General features: G+C 61.6%; 1 protein-coding gene and 1 long non-coding RNA gene across 5 annotated transcripts, besides 10 other annotated features; one reads left to right on the top strand and one right to left on the bottom strand.

The window, feature by feature from the left end:
* Positions 360-729: an enhancer, noted in NCBI's record as "active region_13741". NCBI's record gives its function as "activates an Ori minimal core promoter by ATAC-STARR-seq in GM12878 lymphoblastoid cells {active_cell/tissue: GM12878}" and the evidence as "EXISTENCE:reporter gene assay evidence [ECO:0000049][PMID:35858748]".
* Positions 360-1180: a biological region, named in NCBI's record as "H3K27ac hESC enhancer GRCh37_chr19:3626301-3626862".
* Positions 619-1180: an enhancer, noted in NCBI's record as "H3K27ac hESC enhancer chr19:3626301-3626862 (GRCh37/hg19 assembly coordinates)". NCBI's record gives its function as "activates a minimal SCP1, AML or CMV promoter by ChIP-STARR-seq in primed H9 embryonic stem cells {active_cell/tissue: H9 hESC(primed)}" and the evidence as "EXISTENCE:reporter gene assay evidence [ECO:0000049][PMID:30033119]".
* Positions 693-16838, top strand: CACTIN (cactin, spliceosome C complex subunit). 4 transcript variants are annotated; one of them, NM_021231.2, is made up of 11 exons: positions 693-887; positions 3321-3795; positions 6681-6776; positions 7211-7356; positions 8241-8403; positions 8494-8608; positions 12894-13086; positions 13897-14019; positions 14118-14425; positions 15070-15579; positions 16512-16838. In NM_021231.2, exons 1-10 carry the CDS (start codon positions 721-723, stop codon positions 15558-15560), a joined length of 2277 nt encoding a protein of 758 aa, NP_067054.1. In that variant the 5' UTR covers positions 693-720; the 3' UTR covers positions 15561-15579; positions 16512-16838. The 4 variants fall into 4 exon arrangements, with proteins under 4 accessions (NP_067054.1, NP_001074012.1, XP_011526462.1 ...); NM_001080543.2 differs by having other exon boundaries at positions 15070-16838; XM_011528160.3 differs by lacking the exons at positions 14118-14425; positions 15070-15579; positions 16512-16838 and having other exon boundaries at positions 12894-13097; positions 13897-13984.
* Positions 1181-1742: an enhancer, noted in NCBI's record as "H3K27ac-H3K4me1 hESC enhancer chr19:3625739-3626300 (GRCh37/hg19 assembly coordinates)". NCBI's record gives its function as "activates a minimal SCP1, AML or CMV promoter by ChIP-STARR-seq in primed H9 embryonic stem cells {active_cell/tissue: H9 hESC(primed)}" and the evidence as "EXISTENCE:reporter gene assay evidence [ECO:0000049][PMID:30033119]".
* Positions 1743-2304: an enhancer, noted in NCBI's record as "H3K4me1 hESC enhancer chr19:3625177-3625738 (GRCh37/hg19 assembly coordinates)". NCBI's record gives its function as "activates a minimal SCP1, AML or CMV promoter by ChIP-STARR-seq in naive H9 embryonic stem cells {active_cell/tissue: H9 hESC(naive)}" and the evidence as "EXISTENCE:reporter gene assay evidence [ECO:0000049][PMID:30033119]".
* Positions 2531-3030: an enhancer, noted in NCBI's record as "H3K4me1 hESC enhancer chr19:3624451-3624950 (GRCh37/hg19 assembly coordinates)". NCBI's record gives its function as "activates a minimal SCP1, AML or CMV promoter by ChIP-STARR-seq in primed H9 embryonic stem cells {active_cell/tissue: H9 hESC(primed)}" and the evidence as "EXISTENCE:reporter gene assay evidence [ECO:0000049][PMID:30033119]".
* Positions 3031-3532: an enhancer, noted in NCBI's record as "H3K4me1 hESC enhancer chr19:3623949-3624450 (GRCh37/hg19 assembly coordinates)". NCBI's record gives its function as "activates a minimal SCP1, AML or CMV promoter by ChIP-STARR-seq in primed H9 embryonic stem cells {active_cell/tissue: H9 hESC(primed)}" and the evidence as "EXISTENCE:reporter gene assay evidence [ECO:0000049][PMID:30033119]".
* Positions 8566-9438: an enhancer, noted in NCBI's record as "H3K4me1 hESC enhancer chr19:3618043-3618915 (GRCh37/hg19 assembly coordinates)". NCBI's record gives its function as "activates a minimal SCP1, AML or CMV promoter by ChIP-STARR-seq in naive and primed H9 embryonic stem cells {active_cell/tissue: H9 hESC(naive and primed)}" and the evidence as "EXISTENCE:reporter gene assay evidence [ECO:0000049][PMID:30033119]".
* On the bottom strand, positions 13553-20236 carry CACTIN-AS1 (CACTIN antisense RNA 1). Its single transcript, NR_038865.1, has 4 exons — positions 20074-20236; positions 16218-16283; positions 15180-15717; positions 13553-14698 (listed from the first exon to the last, which is right to left on the bottom strand). It is a non-coding gene; the product is annotated as a CACTIN antisense RNA 1 (long non-coding RNA).
* Positions 19910-20483: an enhancer, noted in NCBI's record as "H3K27ac-H3K4me1 hESC enhancer chr19:3606998-3607571 (GRCh37/hg19 assembly coordinates)". NCBI's record gives its function as "activates a minimal SCP1, AML or CMV promoter by ChIP-STARR-seq in primed H9 embryonic stem cells {active_cell/tissue: H9 hESC(primed)}" and the evidence as "EXISTENCE:reporter gene assay evidence [ECO:0000049][PMID:30033119]".
* Positions 20470-20549: a silencer, noted in NCBI's record as "silent region_9855". NCBI's record gives its function as "represses an Ori minimal core promoter by ATAC-STARR-seq in GM12878 lymphoblastoid cells {active_cell/tissue: GM12878}" and the evidence as "EXISTENCE:reporter gene assay evidence [ECO:0000049][PMID:35858748]".

Genomic DNA, 20603 nt, shown 5'->3' with positions numbered 1-20603 from the left:
GGGTTGAGAAGGCAAGTGTTAAGAGTGACTTTCCCTCTCTGAGCCTCAGTTTCCCCGTCTCTAAAATGGGTTGATGGGGGAATACAGGGAGTTATCAAAGTTTTTGTTTTTTTTTAAAGCTTAACTCCCAAAATACATAGGTGTTCATTGGCAGGTGGTGGAGCATAACGATGACTCTCATAAGAAGGCTTTTCAGTTTCTGTCCCCGCGCCCGCCCTCTGCCCTCTGGAGCTGCCTGGCACCTAACACCTTCCCGGTTCCTCGCCTTTCGGGGACCTCGCTCCCCGGACACGCCTCTCCTCGGCCACGCCCCTGGCCACGCCAATGAAGCGCTACTTCCGACCTAGACCCGCTTCTTATTGGTCTCGCCTCGGCAGGCCCCTCCCTGCACAAGGTTCCTAGTTTGCCCTTGCCCCGCCCACAGTTTCTCAGGCCCCCTGAGGCGTGGGGACCCGCCTAGGGCTGCCTCCAGCACTGCCTGAAAGGAGACTCCGCCACCCTGGAGGCAACAATCCCACTGGAGTCAATCACGCGGTCCACATTTGCAGACGTAGTGGAAAGTCTGGGGTGTCGGAGTCCTTGCGGGCTGGGGCGACGGGATGGGTTGCTCTTTCCCGGCTCAGGCGCAAACGGGGCAGCCTGGAGAGCGCCGTGGGCGAGGAAGGCCCCCAGCGCAGGCTTCGGCTATTGGTGTTGGTGCCGCGGCCACTGGCCCAGCCGATGGGTCGGGACACACGCTCGCGCTCGCGGTCCGCGGGTCGCCGGGGCCGAAGGCGGCAGAGTCAGAGCGGGAGCCGAAGTCGGAGCAGGAGCCATGGGCGGCGAAACCGACGGCGCCGGGAGGACGAGGGACGGCGCAGACGGAGGCGGCGGAGCCGGGAGCGCAGGTGGGGTCGCTGCGGGAGCAGCGCTGGGGATCCGGCTCCTACCTCAGGAGCGCCCGACCGAGGGTTGGAGATCCCGGGGAACCGGGAAACCCCCGACTTACTCGGGGAGGGCTTCCTAGAGAAGGGGACAATTGACCACCGGTTGGAATTAACCTGGCAGCGGAAGGAAGGCGAGAGGCGTTCCAGGCAGGGGACCGGGCGGTTGGAGGGACAGCCCGGAGCCGGGTGAGCGAGGCGGCGGGGAGGTAACGAGAGATCAGATCATATCATATCGAGCCCTGTGTGCTCAGCACATTAGATCTTGGCTATTAGTCGGAGGGAAATGGAGAGTCTTGAGAGGAGTTTGGGTAGGGGAGTGACGTGGACTGACTTAACTCTGCATACTTTCTGGCTTTGAGGTGGAGAAGGGATGGAGCGGGGTAGGCAGGAGCGGCATCAGAGTAGGACGGCACAATTGTCCAGACAGTAGATGATGGCAGTCTCGATGGGAGGGAGGCTGTAGTCAACCACAGCGGGCAAAGTGCGTAGATTTCAGAGGGATTCTGGAAGTAGAGGAGACAACATTTGCTAATGGAGGTGGGCTGTGGGAGGGAAAAAGACTCGGTGTCAGCTGGCAGGACTCACAGCTGATTCCTAGTGCCTGAATCTCAGCTTCCCCATGGTCCTTTTCTTCTGGAGATGGGGCACTTGGTCGGATTTGCCTTGAGCCGGCTCCAGTACAGAGAAACCAAAATGGGGACAGGGACTGATTCCCAGACCGGGGCCCCAGTGCTGGCTCAGCCCCTTCGTGGCTGACACTCAGGCCAGTCTTGCCCCGCTCTGGGCCAAGTTCACTCATCGGTTGTTGGTTTTTTTGTTTGTTTGTTTTTGAGACGGAGTCTTGCTCTGTCGCCCAGGCTGGGGTGCAGTGGCACGATCTCGGCTGTTACCTCTGCCTCCTGGGTTCAAGCGATTCTTCAGCCTCAGCCTCCCCGGTAGCTGGGGTTACAGGTGCTTGTTGCCACACCCAGCTAATTTTTGAATTTTTTCGTAGAGCTGGGATTTCTCCATATTGGCCAGGCAGGTCTTGAACTCCTGGCCTCAAGTGATCTGCCCGCCTCGGCCTCCCAAAGTGCTGGGATTACAGGCGTGAGCCACCGCGCCTGCCCATAAGTCTTGTTAATGTCATCTTTGTGTTTTTTCGCCTACCATTTTCTGGTATTGGAATTATTCACAATAATTTGCCACTCTAGATATGTAATTAGAATTAATGTTCACGAAAATTCAGTTGAACTTGTGGCCAATATTTAAGGGCTCTGCAATGATTGGTTTCAACATAGTTTAGATTTTTTTGACATGAGCTTAATGGGTAGAGCATTTAACAAAATATTTGGCAGTTCTCTGTGTACAAAGACCCCTAAACGTGACTGAGCGCAGTGGCTCACATCTGTAATCCCAACACTTTGGGAGGCTGAGACAGGAGGCTTGCCTGAGCCCAGGAGTTCAAGACCAGCCTGGGCAACATAGCAAGACCCCTCTGTACAAAAAAATGTAAAGAGTTACCTGGGCGTGGTGGTGTGTGCCTGTAGTCCCCGCTACTCAGGAGGCTGAGGCGAGAGGATGGCTTGAGCCCAGGAGGTCAAGGCTGCAGTGAGCTCTGATCATGCACTCCAGCCTGTGTGACAGAGGGAGACTCTGTCTCTAATAAATAAAAATATAGACCTTGTCTCTAGTAGACTCTGTGTCTAGTAGACCTTGTCTCTAATAAATAAAATTAAAGGCCCCTGAACCACCCCTGAGGTTGTGCATCTTCCATTCCCTGCGCTCTACTCTGTTAACTCCTGTCCATCCTGTGGGACTAGTTCAAATACCACTTCCATCTAGGAAGCCCTCCCTTGACAGCCTAAATGTGTTCGGGTCCCCTGGTTCGTACCCTTATAATTCCTGCGCCACCAGCCCCAGCCACCTCCCTGCCCGCGCCTCCTCCCTCTCCCCCACACTCTGTCTCAGCCATACAGCCTCCTTGTTGTTCTTAGAATGTGGCAGGTCAGTGCCTGCCTCTAGGCCCTCGCTCTTGCTCTGCCTCGAGCACTCTCCCTCCGAATCCACCCATCGCTGCCTCCCCACTCCCTCCAGACCTTGGCTCAGTGTCAGCTCCTGAGAGAGCCCCTCTCTGACCTCGGCCCTGCAGCCCCAGCCCCTGTGCTCGGCATTGCTACTCTTTGTGGCTTCTGCCTCTGCCTAGTGTTGCGTGGTGTGTTTATTTGTTGATGTCTTCCTTGTTGGGGCCCACCAGAGGGTGAGCCCAGGAAGGCAGAAGCCATCGGTATTTGGGTCACTGCTGTGTCCCCAGAACCTAGAACAGTGCCTGCTCCCCCACGGGCACCCAGTAAGCATCTGTGGAGCAGATGACAGCTGCAGGCACTGAGCAGGCATCCATGGTCCTCTCCGCAGGTCAGATTCAGAGGAAGAGCGGTGGCAGCGCTCAGGGATGCGAAGCCGGAGCCCCCCGCGGCCCAAGTGGCACTCAAGAGATGGGTCCTCTCAGTCGGACTCAGGAGAGGAGCAGTCACGGGGCCAGTGGGCTCGCCGGCGACGGCGCGCACGCTCGTGGTCTCCTAGCTCCTCAGCATCCAGCTCCGCGTCTCCAGGGCGATCCCAGAGCCCCCGGGCGGCCGCGGCTGCCCTGAGCCAGCAGCAGAGCCTGCAGGAGCGGCTGCGGCTGCGGGAGGAGCGGAAGCAGCAGGAGGAGCTGATGAAGGCCTTCGAGACGCCCGAGGAGAAGCGCGCACGGCGGCTGGCCAAGAAGGAGGCCAAGGAGCGCAAGAAGCGGGAGAAGATGGGCTGGGGTGAGGAGTACATGGGCTACACCAACACCGACAACCCCTTCGGAGACAACAACCTGCTGGGCACCTTCATCTGGAATAAGGTGGGCCCCGCCGGGTGGTGGCCTCTGTCCCTGTAGCATTTCCACTGTTTCTGGAGACCCCAACACTTGAGACACTCCCAGCCTGCCCTTGATCGTGCAAGAGTTGGTTTTACACACACACGCATAAGCAAGCTTCTGCCGCTATCAGCTTTCTTTTTTGACACAGGGTCTCGCTCTGTCGCCCAGGCTGGAGTGAAGTGGTGTGATCTCGGCTCACTGCAAGCTCCACCTCCCGGGTTCATGCCATTCTCCTGCCTCAGCCTCCTGAGTAGCTGGGGCTACAGGCGCCCGCTACCACGCCCGGCTAATTTTTTGTATTTTTAGTAGAGACAGGGTTTCACCATGTTAGCCAGGATGGTCTCGATCTCCTGACCTTGTGATCCACCCGCCTTGGCCTCCCAAAGTGCTGGGATTACAGGCGTGAGCCACCACGCCCGGCCAGCTTTCTTTTTTGACTCAGGGTCTCGCTCTGTCACCCAGGCTGGAGTGCAGTGGCGTGATCGTGGCTAACTGCAGCCTTGACCTCCTGGCCTCAAGCGATCCTCCTACCTCAGCGTTTTGACTTGCTGGGACTACAGGCACCACCACCATGCCCGGCTAATTTTTTATTTTTTTGTAAAGATGGAGTCTCACTATGTTGGCCAGGCTGGTCTCGAACTCCTAAGCTCAAGTGATTTTCCCACCTCGGCCTCCCAGAGTTCTGGGATTACAGGCATGAGCCACTGCGCCCAGCCCACCGTCATTTTCTTGCCATTAACTGTGTCTCTTGCGGTGTAAGCTTCAGCCATTCTTTGCCCCGAACACCAGCCCAACCTGAAACCTATCTAGAGAGCCAGCTCTTGGCATCATGTACCCAGGACAGGGTTCCACAGTTCCAGGCGCTCTGTCGTCTGAGCTGGTTCTTTCGTTCTGCGCCTGCCATTTAGCCACCAGTCACACCAGTGGCATAAGACAACAGAACTTATCATCTCTTCGTTCTGGAGTCCAGAAGTCCAAAATCAAGGCGTGGGCAGGTGTGGGCAGGACCCCACTCCCTCTGGGGGCCGAGGGGAGGCCCCTCCTGCCTCTCCCAGCTCCAGTCATGGCCGGTGATTCCTGGGCCCTCCCTGGCTTGCAGCCGCAGAACCCGGCCTGTTCCTGTGTTGTGTGGCGGTCTGCCTTCCCGTCTCTGTCTCCATACGGCCTTCTGCTCTGTGTGTCTGTGTGTAAATGTTCCTCTTCCCATGAGGACACCAGGCATTGGATGAGGGCCCGCCACCTCCAGGATGACCTCATCTTACCTACGTCTGCAAGACCTCATCACTTTTTTTTTTTTTTTTTTTTTGAGATGGAGTCTCACTCTGTTGCCCAGACTAGAATGCAAAGGCGCAATCTCGGCTCACTGCAACCTCCGCTTCCTGGGTTCAAGTGATTCCCCTGCCCCAGCCTCCCAAGTAGCTGGAATTACAGGCGGGTGCCACCACACTCAGCTAATTTTTGTATTTTTAGTAGACAGAGTTTAACCATGTTGGTCAGGCTGGTCTCGAACTCCTGACCTCAAGTGATCTGCCCGCCTTGGCCTCCCAATATGCTGGGATTACAGGTGTCAGCCACCATACCTGGCCAAGACCTCATTTCACATGGGGTCATGATTACAGCTGCAGGGGTTCAGACGGGGATGTGCCTGTGGGGGACACAGCTCATCTGAAGCAGCATCCACTTGTGGAGGGGGTGGAGCAGGCAACGTGTGGGCTGGGCCGACTGCACCTGCTCGCCGGTTGCGCAGTTGGGAGCTGTGGGGTCTCCAGGTGGCTTCTGCCCGATGTCGTCTGAGAACACAACGAGCTCCTTCCGCCTCGGGGCCCTCACACTGCCGCGCCCCTGCCTGGACATGCTCTGCCCCTTCCCCGGCTGTTCTCTTCCGTCAGGCCTCAACTGACACATCCCCTCTTGAGAGACCCCTTCCTGGCCCCTTGCTCCCCAGACCCCCCAGAGTTCTTTATTGAGGCACACACTGCTGCCTGGCACTTCATCGCCACCATGTGCTGTGCACCTGCGGTGTGCTGGGCACCACCGTGAGCTCTGGGCGGGCAGCCATGGAGGAGGAAGATGTGGTCATCGTTGACGCCTGTGGAAGCGGCCCCAGGCTGGGTTGGATAGACCACAGAGTGGCCCGGGTGTCTGGGGGTGGTCCCCAGCCAGGCAGCCTGTGTCCCTGGAGGCAAGTTCTGGGCGGCAGGGGTTCCTGGAACCCCCTCATGGCGACGGGGCACCGGGAGCCTGAGGAAGGTGGTCGGGAAGTGGGGGCTCCGCGCCAGGCTCTCAGACAGCTGCTGGAAGAAGCCAGCTTTGAGGGTCTCCAGGCTGGGACAAGCCCATCAGTGGCCACCCCTGTGCCCCGCTGTGTGGGCGGGGCCCCATGACCCCACAGGTTTGCTTTCAGAGCTGCTGCTGCCCCCACTCACTGTTCCTGCCCTGTCCCACGTGCAGTGGGGGACCCTGACTTGCTGAGGGCGTGGCCTTCACGTCCGAAGCACTCAGACTCCCGGGTAAAGCGAGTCAGCAGGCCCCGAGCAAGGCTCTTCTGTTGGGGGCTGGGGTGGCCCCGAGCAAGGCCCTCCTGTTGGGAGTTGGGGCGGCCCCGAGTGAGGCCCTCCTGTTGAGAGTTGGGGTAGCCCCTTCTTACCCTTTGCATACATCTCACTCCCAGTGGGGGCTCCATGTCTGCACTGAATTGGATGCACTGGGTTTCAGGAGTGTTAAGGAGGGGGTGGAAGACGTGCAGTGCTGGCAGGTCACCTCTCTCTGCAAAACAAGGGCCCTGGTCAATCTCTTGGACGAAGGAGCTGAGGAGGGGGGCGAGGGGGCGGGTCTGTGCTCAGGGCAGGTGTGCCTGGTGCTTCCAGGCCCTGGAGAAGAAGGGGATCAGCCACCTGGAGGAGAAGGAGCTGAAGGAGCGGAACAAGAGGATCCAGGAGGACAACCGGCTGGAGCTGCAGAAGGTAGGCACCCTGCCAGCCCACTGGGCAGGGCCCTCCCTTTCCAGGGCCTGGAGGCCCGCCCCCTTTGGCAGGACTTGAGGGGCTTAAGTGGGAAGTCCTGGGGGCTGGCTTCAGGTAAGGCTGGATCCAGGGGCTCAGACCATGGCCCCAGGAAACTGTTTCCCTCCACCTCTCGGCTCTGCTGGCCTCGGGCCTTCACTCCCACATGCTCCCTTCAGGGTGGCCGAGAGGGCCCCAGCTGATCTGAGCTGCTGAGTCTCGGGCAGGAGGGCCCTCTCCCTTCCCAAGGTCTGTCCACCAGCCCAGGCATCTCCGGACCAATCCCTGTGCCCAGGGCAGCTGGGTGAAGGCTGGGCCCCCATCATCACAGCCCCTCCCCCCGCAGCCCTGCAGACCGCACGGTCCCCGCTGCCCTCAGCCTCCTGTGCCTGCAGGTGAAGCAGCTGCGGCTGGAGCGGGAGCGGGAGAAGGCCATGCGCGAGCAGGAGCTGGAGATGCTGCAGCGCGAGAAGGAGGCAGAGCACTTCAAGACATGGGAGGAGCAGGAGGACAACTTCCACCTCCAGCAGGCCAAGCTGCGGTGCGCTGGGGCCTCCCCCTCCCTCCGACCCAGACTTGGAGCCAGGGCCGGGCACTGGCTGTCACTCTGGAAGCCACTGCTCTCCCACCCTTCAGGGTCCCACACGGCACTTCCTGGGACCTTCCCTTCCTGACCCCTTCCCGGGCGGCAAGGCTTCTGTCTCCTGCCCTCCCCTGCTGGGCAGGGTGCAGAGGAGACGGGCCCAGGTGAACGGCACCCCACGCATGCTGGACGCCAGTCCTGCACTGACTGCAGTTGTCCCTCCCACACTCCACCCAGGAGGGTGGCACCCCCATCCGCCTGGTTTACAGACAAGCTGAGGCTCCGGGGTGTCCCTGCTTGCCTTGGGCCCCGTGGCGGGTGACATCAGGCTCCTCCCAGCTCGGGCCTCCCTGGTGACGGGTTCCCTTGGGTTGGACCAGGGCCCGCCTGCAACGCGTACCCCCCTGCAGGCCCAGAACAGAAACCCGGCTCTCTGCCCCGAGTGGTCTGCCTGGGGGAGGAGGTGGTTGCAAGGCAGTGACTACTCTGGTCCCCCAGCCTGCCTCTGCTTCAGCTCCTCCACTCTTCCCCATCACAGCCCACATAGAAGCCGCCATCCTGGGCACATCCCAGAGGCCCTCCAGGAAGCCCCTCCCACCTGGCCCACCTCCGGGTCCACGCTGCTTGCACTTTGTCTGCACTGCTGGCCTGCGCCCTTTGGCTGACCCGGCTCACTCTACCTTATGCCTCCTCCTCCTCCTCCTCCAGGAAGCCTTCCCTGACCACCCCCAACGGGTCAGGCCCCTCCTCGGCTCCCACTGGTGTGGTCACCCCAAGGGCAGGGTCTTTAGCATGGAGGGCACAGCCCAGGCTCTGATGCCACCTTCCCCTGCTCCCCACAGTTCCAAGATCCGCATCCGGGACGGGCGGGCCAAGCCCATCGACCTGCTGGCCAAGTACATCAGCGCTGAGGATGACGATCTGGCCGTGGAGATGCATGAGCCCTACACGTTCCTCAACGGCCTCACCGTGGCCGACATGGAGGACCTGCTGGAGGATATCCAGGTACCCAGCCCCACCCGATGCTCCTCTGACCTGCACCCTCACCCCCACCCCAGCCACACCCGTGTCCTGACCCCTGCCCCCTGCCCCCAGGTCTACATGGAGCTGGAGCAGGGCAAGAACGCCGACTTCTGGCGGGACATGACCACCATCACCGAGGACGAGATCTCCAAGCTCCGCAAGCTGGAGGCCTCGGGCAAGGGGCCAGGTAACGGCGGGCATGGGCCTGGGCTCCAGGGGAGCTGCGGGGGCTACAGTGTTCACCCAGAAGCCTCAGACTTGCTGTGGGGCCTGGTGCTCTCTGCAGGCCTCGGTTTCCCCAACTGGGGCCTCCCCTTCTGGGCCGAGCCACCAGGGGGCAGCAGCGGGCAGTAGGCCCTGGGAGGGATGAGTGGGGCGGGCCTCTGTCTGGGGTGCAGGGCCAGCAGCGTCCAGACCCAGCGTCCCGTTAACGCTGACTCGGCGGTGCCGGCCTTATGGGAGCCACGGGGCTTTCCGCTCAGGTTTCAGTGCTCTCAGTGGCTCTGCCTGTTTGACAGCAAGTCTCGCTCCACCTGGCCTGAAGGCCGTGCAGCCCAGCTTCAGGGCGCTACCTGTCCCGTGCGTCAGTTCGTGCCCCTCCAACCTGATGGGCTTTTAAAATCACGTTTCCCCCCCCTCCGTGTGGTTGCACACACATGGTCACCGGGGATGCTCTAAAGCGTCTACCCTGAGCACTGCGGACATGCGGGCTGGGCCGTTCCCTAGGGTGGGGCCGTCCTGGACACTGCTGGGTGCTGAGCAACGTCCCTGGCCTCCACCCAGGGTCAGGAGCACCCCTAGTCCTGACAACCGCAGATGTCCCCAGACGTTGCCCAGAGTCCCCTGGGGGCAGAATTGCCCTAGATGAGACCCCCCCCCCCCCCGGTCTAAAAGCCAACCACAGCAGCCCTGCCCCCTCCCCGCCAAAATCCACGCCCCAGCGGCTGCTGTAACAGTGCCTGGCTCTCATGGGCCACGCATCCCTGTCGATAGACCCGGTCCTTCCCCTGCCCTCCCTCTCAGGCCTTGGGTGCCATCATGGTGGCCGAGGATCCCAGGAGGCTGGGTCAGTGTCATTTGCAGCCCTCAGCGTGGTCTGTGGCAGGTCCTTCCTAGGAAAGAGCCTGTGGCTTTCCTCTTTTTCAGTGGAGCTTTGTGTTCCCCGGAGGTGGAGTTCACTCAGCCATCCTGTCCCTCCAGTGGTCTCCTCCGTGGGGCACATTCTCCCGTAACCTCAGAGAGGCAGGGCAGTTCTCCAGCATCAGAGGTGTGTCCGTTAAGGGTCTTGGTGTGCTCCTGCTGGTGGCAGCGGGGCTGGGCAAAGACTTCTGGGTGCAGTACATTTTCCTTCAGAAGCCGCAGACCCTACCCACCGGCTGCAGGAAGCCTGGGAGGCGTTTCCAGCGTTGCCCTAGGCCCCGCCCTCTCCTGTAAGACTGGGAGGCGTTTCCAGCGTTGCCCTGGGCCCGGCCTCTCCTATAAGCCTGGGAGGCGTTTCCAGCGTGCCCCACTGCCCTAGGCCCCGGCCTCTCCCATCCCTTCCATGGCCTTCTGCCTCCACCACGTCGCTCAGCCCTCCTTTCCCCTCACGCGTTACAGTTGGGGACCCCAGGTGGCTTTGGTGTCTTCCGAGGGAGTTTGTTTCTGATTCTCCTTTCAACATGGTTTCCAGGAGTAGGGAACCGAGGGGTCTTGACTTTGCTGTCCCCCTGGAGACCCACAGAGCCCCTGTCCTGGATCTTCTTAAATTAATTGGGGTTTTCCTTTTACTTTTCATTTTTCAGAGACAAGGTCTCGCTCTGTCGCCCAGGCGAGAGTTGAGTGGCGCGATCAAGGCTCACTGTAGCCTCGACTTCCTGGGTTCAGGTGATCCTCCCACCTCAGCCTCCCTAGAAGCTGGGACTACAGGCGCTCACCATCACACCCAGCTATTTTATTTTTTGAGAAGGAGTCTCACTCTGTCACCAGGCTGGAGTGCAGTGGTGCGATCTCTGCTCACTGTGACCTCTGCCTCCCAGATTCAAGCGATTCTCCTGCCTCAGCTGCCCAAGTAGCTGGGATTACAGACGCGCGCCATCACGCCCAGCTAATTTTTGTATTTTTAAGGAGACAGGGTTTCACCATGTTGGCCAGGATGGTCTCAATCTCTTGACCTCATGATCCTCCCACCTCAGCCTCCCAAAGTGCTGGGATTACAGAAGTGAGCCACTGTGCCCAGCCACTTCTGAAAATTTTTTGTAGAGATGGGGTCTCACTGTGTTGCCCAGGCTAGTCTTGAACTCCTGGCCTCAAGCAATCCTCCTGCCTCACCTCCAGAAGGGCTAGGATTAAAGGCATGAGTGACTGCATGCTTTTTCTTTTTAATTTTTACAAAATTAAAGTTTTTTTATTATTTCTGTAGGTTATTGGGGAACAGGTGGTGTTTGGTTACATGAATAAGTTTTTTTGTTTTTTGAGACGGTGTCTTGCTCTCTTGCCAGGCTGGAGTGCAGTGGTGTGTTCTCAGGTCACTGCAACCTCTGCCTCCTGGGTTCAAGCAATTCCCCTGCCTCAGCCTCCCAAGTAGCTGGGATTACAGGCACCTACCACCACACCTGGCTAATTTTTTGTATTTTAGTAGAGACAGGGTTTCACGATGTTGGCCAAGATGGTCTTGATCTCCTGACCTCGTGATCCACCCACCTCAGCCTCCAAAAGTGCTGGGATTACAGGCGTGAGCCATCGTGCCCGGCCGTTTACATGAATAAGTTCTTTAGTGGTGACTTGTGAGATTTTGGTGCACCTAGCTTTTTCTAGGAAGTTCTAACCCTACAGGAGGTTGTGCAGTAGAAAACGGGTGTCATCCCAGCTCAGCTTCATTAGCCTCCCACCCTGTGTAGGGCCTGGCCTTTCCCCCACGCAGCCCCAGGGCCCTTGGCCTGCACCCCCAGCCTCTAGCAGCTGCTGGGACCCCCTAAACCCCCGGGCCCCCTTGTGGGCATTCGGGAGGCATCCAGACATGCAGCAGCATGTCCAGACCCGGCTTTCTATAGACGCTGACCTGGCGGCACCTGGCCTGGCTTCCTGGGAGCCTCGCGGCTGGGCTCTTCTGCTTGGGTTTCAGTGTTCGTGGTAGCCCCGCCTGTCTGGGCACGGCCGCGCTGTGCTTGGCTGGGGCTGCCACGGATTCCAGTGCCACTTAGCGCCCAGCAAAGGGGCTGCAGCTCTGGGTGCCGATTCCAGGGTCCCAGGTGATTGGCTGGAGGGGACTCGGGTCCGTCTAGACTCTATCCAGTCCCCTGTGGTGTAGGTGTGGGCCTCTTGACCCTCTGTCCGCCAGCGGGGACTGGAGAAGGCAGGTCTCGAGCAGGGTGCCTGCACTGGTCACCCCCGCCCAGTGTGTCACCAGCAGCTATGCACCAAGCTCCCTGTGGGCCCAGCATGGCACAGGGAACAGCAGCAGCCAGCCCCATTGCCCGCCTCGGGAAGCTGCCATCGCTGGATGGTCAGGGAGGGCTTCCTGGCGGAAGGGATGTTCTCACTGAGCATGGAGGATGCGAGGAATTCAGGAAGCGAATGGGACAGAGAAGGATGGGTAGCTGGCAGGAAGCACAGTGCGTGCAAAGGCCCAGAGGTGGCAGGGGTTCGGCATGGGCAGCAAGGGGCAGGGTTGCGAGGTGAGGCCAGACCCAGCGGGGTGGGTGGAAGTGGCCTGAGAGCAGCACTGAGGCCGCCGGGATGCCACGTGGTGTGGGGCAGAGCACGCGGAGTCAGGCTAGGCTCCAGCCTCCCAGCACCCCACTCCCGCCCTCAGCAGCCTCCCCGTCTATCGAGGAGGGACTTGAGCCTCGGGCCCCTGGGCCAGTGGTAGATGCCAGACAGACTCCATGTAGGATGGGGGGCGGCGGTGGGGAGCTGTTTGTCCTGGGGCGGGCCCAGGACTTCCCCAGGGGCCAGCAGGGTGGCCTTCTTTGCTAGGCTTCACAGAGGGAAACTAAGGCCCAGAAAGGGCAGGCCACTTGCCCACAGTCACACAGCCCAGGCTGGCAGAGAAGATCTGAATTCCAGAGAGCCTGGCTACCGAGCACACCCCCCAACCCCCTCATGGACTGCCCAAGGCCAGGGCAGAGTTGGGCCAGGTTGGTGGGCCGGGCCCACAACTAGGGTTCCCAGACCCACATATCAGACTCACCTGGGGAGGGGCATTCTCAGGGCCAGTCCTGGCCTCCCCCACGCTGGGGGCCTGGGCCTCCAGGTCAAGGCCTCAGCAACTGCATCTTAACGTGGCTCCCAACCTCCGCCCACCCCCTCCCCTCCGCTGTGGCCAGGGTGGGGACAACCTGAGACCAGGGAGGTGGCGGGACTGGATGGGACCCCTGTGGGGGAAGAGGAGGGGAGGGGGACCCCCCCATGGCAGGGGAGGAGGCCCTGATGGGGTGGAGGAGCACGTAGGAAATGTGGAACCGCCCCCCCATGCCCCCACCCCGCTGCAGGTGAGCGCCGCGAGGGGGTCAACGCCTCCGTCAGCTCTGATGTGCAGTCGGTGTTCAAGGGGAAGACATACAACCAGCTGCAGGTCATCTTCCAGGGCATCGAGGGCAAAATCCGCGCTGGTGGCCCCAACCTGGACATGGGCTACTGGGAGAGCCTCCTGCAGCAGCTTCGTGCCCACATGGCACGGGCCCGGTGAGCACTAGGTGCGGGTACCAGGGTTGGTGCCGTCCGGGTGGGATGGGTTTCGCCCCCTCCTGAGTCCTGGGTGGGGTGGGTCTCGCCTCCTCCTGGGACCATGTGGGGTGGAGAGGGGCAGGAAAGTGCCGACTGGCCGGGGCCAGCCTGTGAGTGACGAAGGGGGGCCGGGGGGCGCGTAGTCCCGTGCCCTAGCGGGAAGGCCCCAGGATGCTCCAGTGCCCTCACCTGGAGTCAGCCCTGTTGGTCTCACAGGGCTCCCCAGGAGCTTCCGCCCTTTAACGAGTACCTGGCGCGCTCCAGCAGCCATGGCATCACAGGAAGCCCCCAGGCGGCCTGCCTGTCCCCACTGCCTTGCGCCCAGGCCTGCGCCCTCCCAGCGCTGCTGCCTCCCGGCCTCTGGCTGTGTACAGATTTCTGGAGTGTTTTTGGCACCGCTGTGTAAATACATGTCTCCTCTGCTAATTTGTAAATGTCTCTAAATTTATCATGCTTGTTGGCTGGTGTCCTGCTGGGCCCCTTCTCCTGGCCAGCCCCAGCCACAAGACACTGAGACTGCAGCGTGAGACAGAGACCCACCTCTCCCTGCCATGGGATGGTTCACCAGGGTACCTGCGTCCTCTCGTCCTCTCTCCCATAAGCCTTGACCCTGAACTGACCAAGCCTGGGCAAAGGTCCCAGCCAGAGCCGTGGCTGCTCGCCACCTTCTCAGGGTCCTTGCAGCAATAAGGGGCGTGAGAATCTCGGTGGGGGTGGGGCGCGGAGCCCCTTCGCCTCCATGCGGGTGACCCCGGCTCTGCGTCCCAGGCTGCGTGAGCGCCACCAGGACGTGCTGCGGCAGAAGCTGTACAAACTGAAGCAGGAGCAGGGCGTGGAGAGCGAGCCGCTGTTCCCCATCCTCAAGCAGGAGCCCCAGTCCCCCAGCCGCAGGTAGGCCCGGCCGGCACCCCGGGGACGCCGATGCAGACGCGGAGCAGGATGGAGGGGCCGTGGGCAGCCTCCGCGCCTCCAACGCTCTCTCCTCCCAGCCTGGAGCCTGAGGACGCGGCGCCCACCCCGCCCGGGCCCTCCTCGGAGGGCGGCCCCGCGGAGGCCGAGGTGGACGGCGCGACCCCGACAGAGGGCGACGGCGACGGGGACGGTGAGGGCGAGGGCGAGGGCGAGGCGGTGCTCATGGAGGAGGACCTGATCCAGCAGAGCCTGGACGACTACGACGCCGGCAGGTACAGCCCGCGGCTGCTCACGGCGCACGAGCTGCCACTGGACGCGCACGTGCTGGAACCGGATGAGGACCTGCAGCGCCTGCAGCTCTCGCGCCAGCAGCTCCAGGTCACGGGTAAGGGCGGGGCTGGAGGCCAGGGGGTGGGGCCAGTGGGGCGAGCTGGGGGCGGGGCTTCTCCAGCCTCATTTCCCGGCCGAAGCCGCTGGCGTCAGTGGGGAGCTGCTTGCTGCTTCTCCCCCGGGTCTCTGAGCGTGCATTCCGTCACCTGCACGCGCACTGGGGCGTTCCTTCATTCATCCTGGGCTTGCTGGCCCACTGGCCTTGGGGCCACAGGTGGTGGAAGCTTTTACCGGCCGCTGTCCGAGCACTCCCTGGGCAGCCTCCGTCCTAAGACAGAGGAGAAAATACTGGCTTCAGAAAACCCCTGGGCCAGGACCCCCTCGGGGGTCATGCGTGGGGCTGGATCCCGCAGCCAGGCCCTAACCACCAGGTTCTCCTGTCGCTCGGCGGGGAAGCGCGCTGCGCTTGGTCCCCACCCAGGAGGACGATAGACATGAAGACCAAGGTCCGGGGCTCGGGGCGGATGGTGTGGGTCTCCGGGTCGCCCAGGCCCTGTCCCCTCCCCATGTGCCTTAGCTCGCCCCAGCCTGTTTTCCTTTTGCGGGAGGCACCAGCGGCCGCCCCTGCCAGAGAGGCTAGGAGGGAGGCCAGGACCCAGGGGGAGGCCGAGGCCCGGGTGAACGCCGTCCCGCCCGCAGGAGACGCCAGCGAGAGCGCCGAGGACATCTTCTTCCGGCGGGCCAAGGAGGGCATGGGCCAGGACGAGGCGCAGTTCAGCGTGGAGATGCCACTCACCGGCAAGGCCTACCTGTGGGCCGACAAGTACCGGCCACGCAAGCCGCGCTTCTTCAACCGCGTGCACACGGGCTTCGAGTGGAACAAGTACAACCAGACGCACTACGACTTTGACAACCCACCGCCCAAGATCGTGCAGGGATACAAGTTCAACATCTTCTACCCCGACCTCATCGACAAGCGCTCCACGCCCGAGTACTTCCTGGAGGCCTGCGCCGACAACAAGGATTTCGCCATCCTGCGCTTCCACGCGGGGCCGCCCTACGAGGACATCGCTTTCAAGATCGTCAACCGCGAGTGGGAATACTCGCACCGCCACGGCTTCCGCTGCCAGTTTGCCAACGGCATCTTCCAGCTGTGGTTTCACTTCAAGCGCTACCGCTATCGGCGGTGACGGCCCTGGGGAACGGCAGGCAGGTGTCCTCGGGGGCACAGTAAAGGGGCTTCGGTGAAGCTGGTGGTCACTCCGGGGCCGCTGTCTGGGCTGCAGGGCCGCGGGTTCACGTCCCACCTCAGGCCGCATCTTTCTTTCGCCAGGCCTCAGTTTCCTCCTATATAAAAGGGGGGTCACCATTGAGCCTGCCATGGTGAGCTGAGGAGACACTGGGACAGGCTGGCCTAGGGTCCTGATGCAACGGAGGGGGCGCTAGGGGCATCTTTCGAGCACGAGGGTGGCCAGCAGCCGCCAGCTGACCTCACCGTCCAGGCGGACACTCTCCACCGCCCCTCAGCCAGGCTGGGTGGGGCCCACAGGGCCTGCCCCAAGTGGCGGCCACACAGGGTGTTGTGGAGATGGGCCAGAGGGGCCTGGGCTTGGCGGTGCCAGGCTCGTGAGAAGCAGGAAACTCAAGGCCAGCCCTGCCACATCACGGGGCACCCACTGGGCGTGAGGCAGAGCCCGCGGCTGTGGGGCAGCTCCAGCCCTGCCCACAGGCCACCCTCGCCCGCACAGGCAGCACTGAGGCCGGGACCCTGCTGGCGCCCGATCCGCCACTGCAGAAGAGACCCTCTGTGGACACCCACACTCTGCAGGGACTGGCCCCCAACTCACCCCGTGCTGGCTGGTGGGGTCCATTTCCCCGCAGCGGGTATGGAGGATGCGTCGAGGTCCCTGTCTCTGTCAAGGTCGTGGGAACCAAAAGTCACTGAGCCGTCCTCCCCCCACCTCTGAGCACAGGGCCTGGAGGGCAGGGGCTCCCCGAAGGCTGGGGGTTGGAGAAGGGTGAGGGGCTTCCCCCAGGGATCCCCCCACCTGGCCTGCTCACGGGGCCTTGGAGCATGAGACCAGTGACCCCGAGTTTTGCCCATATCAGGACAGTGGCTCCTTCTCACTCCCCTTTCTCAGGCCAGGAGGGCCGAGGGCCACACGGGTGCCACAGCCCAGGTCGGAGTGGCCCAGCCGGCAGGCTTGTTCTTCAGCATCCGACGGGAACATCTCCAACAGAAGCAAAACGGAAAGTGCCTCCCGGACCCCCAGAGGGCCACCCAACCTCACCAGTCACCAGCCCCAGACCACCCACAGCCCCTCCCAGACACCCCGCCTCATCTGGAAATAGTTCCGTTTGTTTCTCTAAAAAGACTTGTAGGTGGGAAAAAAAATCTTTTGTTCTCATGGAATTGGCCTATTGGCAAGATCGCATGTTTTTTTAATAAACGTTGTATTTTAGAATAATCTTAGGTTTGCAGAAATGCAGAGAGTGTAACGTGTCCGACGCCCCACACCCGCTGCCCTAGTTGCTGCTGGCATTTGTGACACAGCGCATTTGTCCCAAGGGAAGAGCCTGGGAAACAACACGGCACCCAACTGGGGCCCGGTGGTCCCTTGGGAGCTGTGTTAGTGCCCGGATCTGTCTTTGCCCCCCACCCCTCTGCCTTGCCTCCCACAGTGGGGGTGACAGTCCATTTCCCAGACGACAGGAGGGAGGGTACAAGGGTGGACACAGCTGCTGGCCTGGGCCCAGGCTCTCATGGGGGCAGCGCTTGGCCATGCCTGGGGGCATTCGTGGTGGTCCCACCTTGGGGCTGCTCCTGGCGTGGAGTGAGTGGAGGCCAGGGATGCTGCCCAATGTGCTTCAGTGCCCAGGATGAGCCTCCCCAAATGTCCTCACTGCAGTAGGCAGAGGTGCAAGGCAGATCCTGCACTCCCCTGGGGCACTGGTCACCTCCCAGCCCCCACCTCTAACAGGATCCCGGAAGTCTGTGGCACAGGGCTTGGGAACTGGCCAGGGAAGTGCATCTGATCAGCGTCCGCTCTCCACACCGCAGACCCTGGCCCACCCTGACCAGCCTACTCCAGAATCCCAAATCGCATTGCAGCACACACAACACTGCCATCCCCAGCCCAGCCTTCAGCAGACATCACAAGTTGATGGCAGATGGCCAGAGCCATCTTAGAATCCTCTGGGCAGCCTCTTGCCTGGGTTCCTGGCCAGCTCCACCGCCGATCAGGACAGGCTGCTGGGGCAGGGCTGAGTCCGGGCTGGACTCGGGGGGCACTTTTTATTTTTTTGAGACAGGCTGGAGTGCAGTGGGCGTGATCACAGCTTTCTACATCCTCAACACCAGAAGGCACTTTTGAGCCCAGAGTGGTGTTTGGGACAGGCCGGGTTCTGTAGTCACAGCCCAGGTTGTGTGTGCGTGGCTGGCGCAGCCCAGCCTGTACTGGGCCTAACCCAGACCTCCCACCAGCTCTATGTGACAGTATTTACTTCCATTTGGCTGCTCGGGAAACTGAGGCTCACAAAAGCCCACGTTGTTGAGCCCAGAAAGTGGCAGGGCCAGTATTAGAAGCTGGGTTTCTCTACCCTGGAGAATCCCAATCCCAGACCACCACCCCGTCCCTGCCTCAGTTTCCCCACCTGCCCCTGCAGAGATTCCCCCAGCCCCAGCATCCTGCTTCCTCCTCCTCACGTTCCTTTTGCACCCCAAGGGAGATGGCTGTCCTCCAACTGGCAAGACACATGGTTTGCCAGGGGCCCCAGTCTGGAGGGAGCAGAGCTGGGGCCCTGGGACCCCTGAAGGGTCACGGGCACTGAGCCTGGGAAGACGGGCTGCTGGCCGAGAAGGGTGACGGCTGCCTTGCAGAGGACAGGGCAGCAGGTGTGCCCAGGGCAGGGGGCACACAGGGCTCAGGCCAAGCTAAGGAGCCAGATCCTAGGGGAGCTGGGCACCAGGGAGCTACGGAGGGCGCGTGAGCTGGGGAGGGCCTCCGAGCTGGGTGTCGAGACCCTGCAGGCAGACTGGAGGTGGGGGCCAGGGGTAGGCTCTGCACACCACCCCCCCATCTACCCCATGACTCTCCACCATGGCCCGAGGTCCACCTGGTGTCCTGGAAGCTGCCCCCGCCCCCACCCAGCTTCCTGACTTTGGCTGTGTCCAGAGCTAAGAATAGACGCTCCCTGCCCGGCCCCCGCCGGAAACCGCAGCCACGGGGGTACATCCTGAGCCTGGCCTCTGTTCCCACCATCTGCCCCCCAGCCCCTCACAACTCCTCCCACCAGAGCCTCCTGTGCTCCCATTGAACCCGAAGTGCTGGCGGGGGGTGGGGGGCGGGGGGCGGGCCAAGACCGGGAGACCAGCAACCAGCCCCAGATGACAGGGAAGCCCAGTGCTCATGTTCCAATCCCACACATGGGCGTGGCATTGTTCCCCCTTTGTGCCTCAGTTTCCCCATCTCTAAAATTTAAGAGTATCTTTACCCCCTGCCTTGCAGAGATGTGGTGAGGCTTAAGCTAAATGCAAGTGTCCTTCTCTGAACTCTGCCCAGGCTGTTTCCCAGAAGAGTCATTGTCCTTGTTATCTCAGGGCCGAGGACAGAGGAAGTGGGGACAGGACAGCCTTCCTCCGTCTCTCACTGCCCCCTCATCTGGAGCCCCAGCCCCACATCCTCCTCCCCCAACATCTGCCCTCCTTGCAGTTAGTGTAGCAAGGGCCTCATGCTCTCTCTTGCCTCCAAAGCTTTATACATGCAATTCCTGTCACTGCCACGTAGCCCAGACCTGGGGAGCTCCTATTCATCCTACAAAACCCCACTTCCCATGCCCTCTCCTCACAAGATGTCTTCCTAGCTCACCTCTGGGCTTCCCTAGGCCCTGTCTCTTCCTTTGGCCCAGCCCTGACCCCAGGGGGCTGGAACAGCCTGTGTCCAGTTCATTCTCCAGCCTAGGGCATCCTGAAGGGCAGGCCTGGTTTCAGGTCTCACTTGGAGCTCATAATTGTCCCACTGTATAAGCTGAACACAGAGAGGGGTTGGGGAGAGTAAGACTTGGAGATTAGGTCGGCTTCACGGGAAAGCAGCCTTGGAGCCAGGGTTTTGCCACATCCATAGGAGTTGGATAGCCTCCTTGCCAGGAAAGAGAGAAGTTGTGTTAAATGGCTGGTGACTTAATGGGATAGAGCTTTGGGAGGGAGGTTGGGTGTGGCCGAAGGCCAGGAGGAGGAAGGATAGTGGGCGGGGTAGCCGGGGAAGGGGCTTCCGGACTGGGCTGACGAGAGGGCCGGGCCAGGCTGGGAATACCCCTCACTCACAGCCTGGACTAGCAGCCCTCCCGGGCCCAGGGGACGGGGTGGGGTGCAGTCAGGGCAAGGTCAGCTTGTCCGGTCCCACTCCAGGTCCCTAACTCAAGGTTCTGTCCGGCTCGGGTGTACAAACAAGGCCAAGGAAGCCCAAGGTCCCCCCTCTGCAAAGAGACGGTCCCAGTCCCTGCGTCCGGCACCTTCTCAGCCATTCCTGTTGGGCTCCATCCCTCCTTCCCCAGCCCGAGCTGGGGGGTGGCCAGGAAAGAGTGCCCATCCCCCACTGCAGCCTCCCGGCTCCAGACTGTTCCTCCTCTGGCTCCAAAGCCACCTCCGAGCCTCCTCAAGAGACCCTCCCATGCGATGCCATCACCCCAGCCCTCCCGGCTCACCTGCTCTGGGACCACCTTTCTCAGTCTGGCTGTGTCGTCTGGTGCACCCCCCATCCCTCTGTCCTCCCACCCCACCCCTGGAAGGGGCCTCAAATATGTCCTGTATGTATTAAGCAGGGCATACTACTACTGTGTGCCGCGTTCCAGCGCACCCAGTGAATTTGGAGCCCTGGAGTCTGGGCGACCCCCGGGAGCCGATCCGCCTGGACCTGCCCCGCCCCCTCCAGGCCTTGGGTGCTGCCCAGATGGTGAATAATGCGGGCCTGGCGGCGGGAGCGCCGGGAAGAGGCCTGGCAGGGCGCTGGGCGGCTGGAGGGGCTGAGGCTCCCGAGGAAGCGCCCCTGCCACCCCTACGCGGGCCATTGCATCCCTGCCACCGGTGGCCTGGGGGTCCCAAGGGCGCCGCCTTCCCCAGAAGGCTGTAGGGTGTCCCGGCGTGCGGGGGGCACCCACTGACTCCAAGTCAGCCAGGCCCGGGCCCGAGGGGCGTGGCCAGCGCAGGGTGGGCGGGGCTGATGAGAGACAGCGGG

Source organism: Homo sapiens, chromosome 19 (assembly GCF_000001405.40).
Source record: "Homo sapiens chromosome 19, GRCh38.p14 Primary Assembly".
NCBI classification, from domain to species: Eukaryota; Metazoa; Chordata; class Mammalia; order Primates; family Hominidae; genus Homo; species Homo sapiens.
Note: the sequence above shows the minus strand (reverse complement) of the source record. Positions and strands in the feature narration are given on the sequence as shown.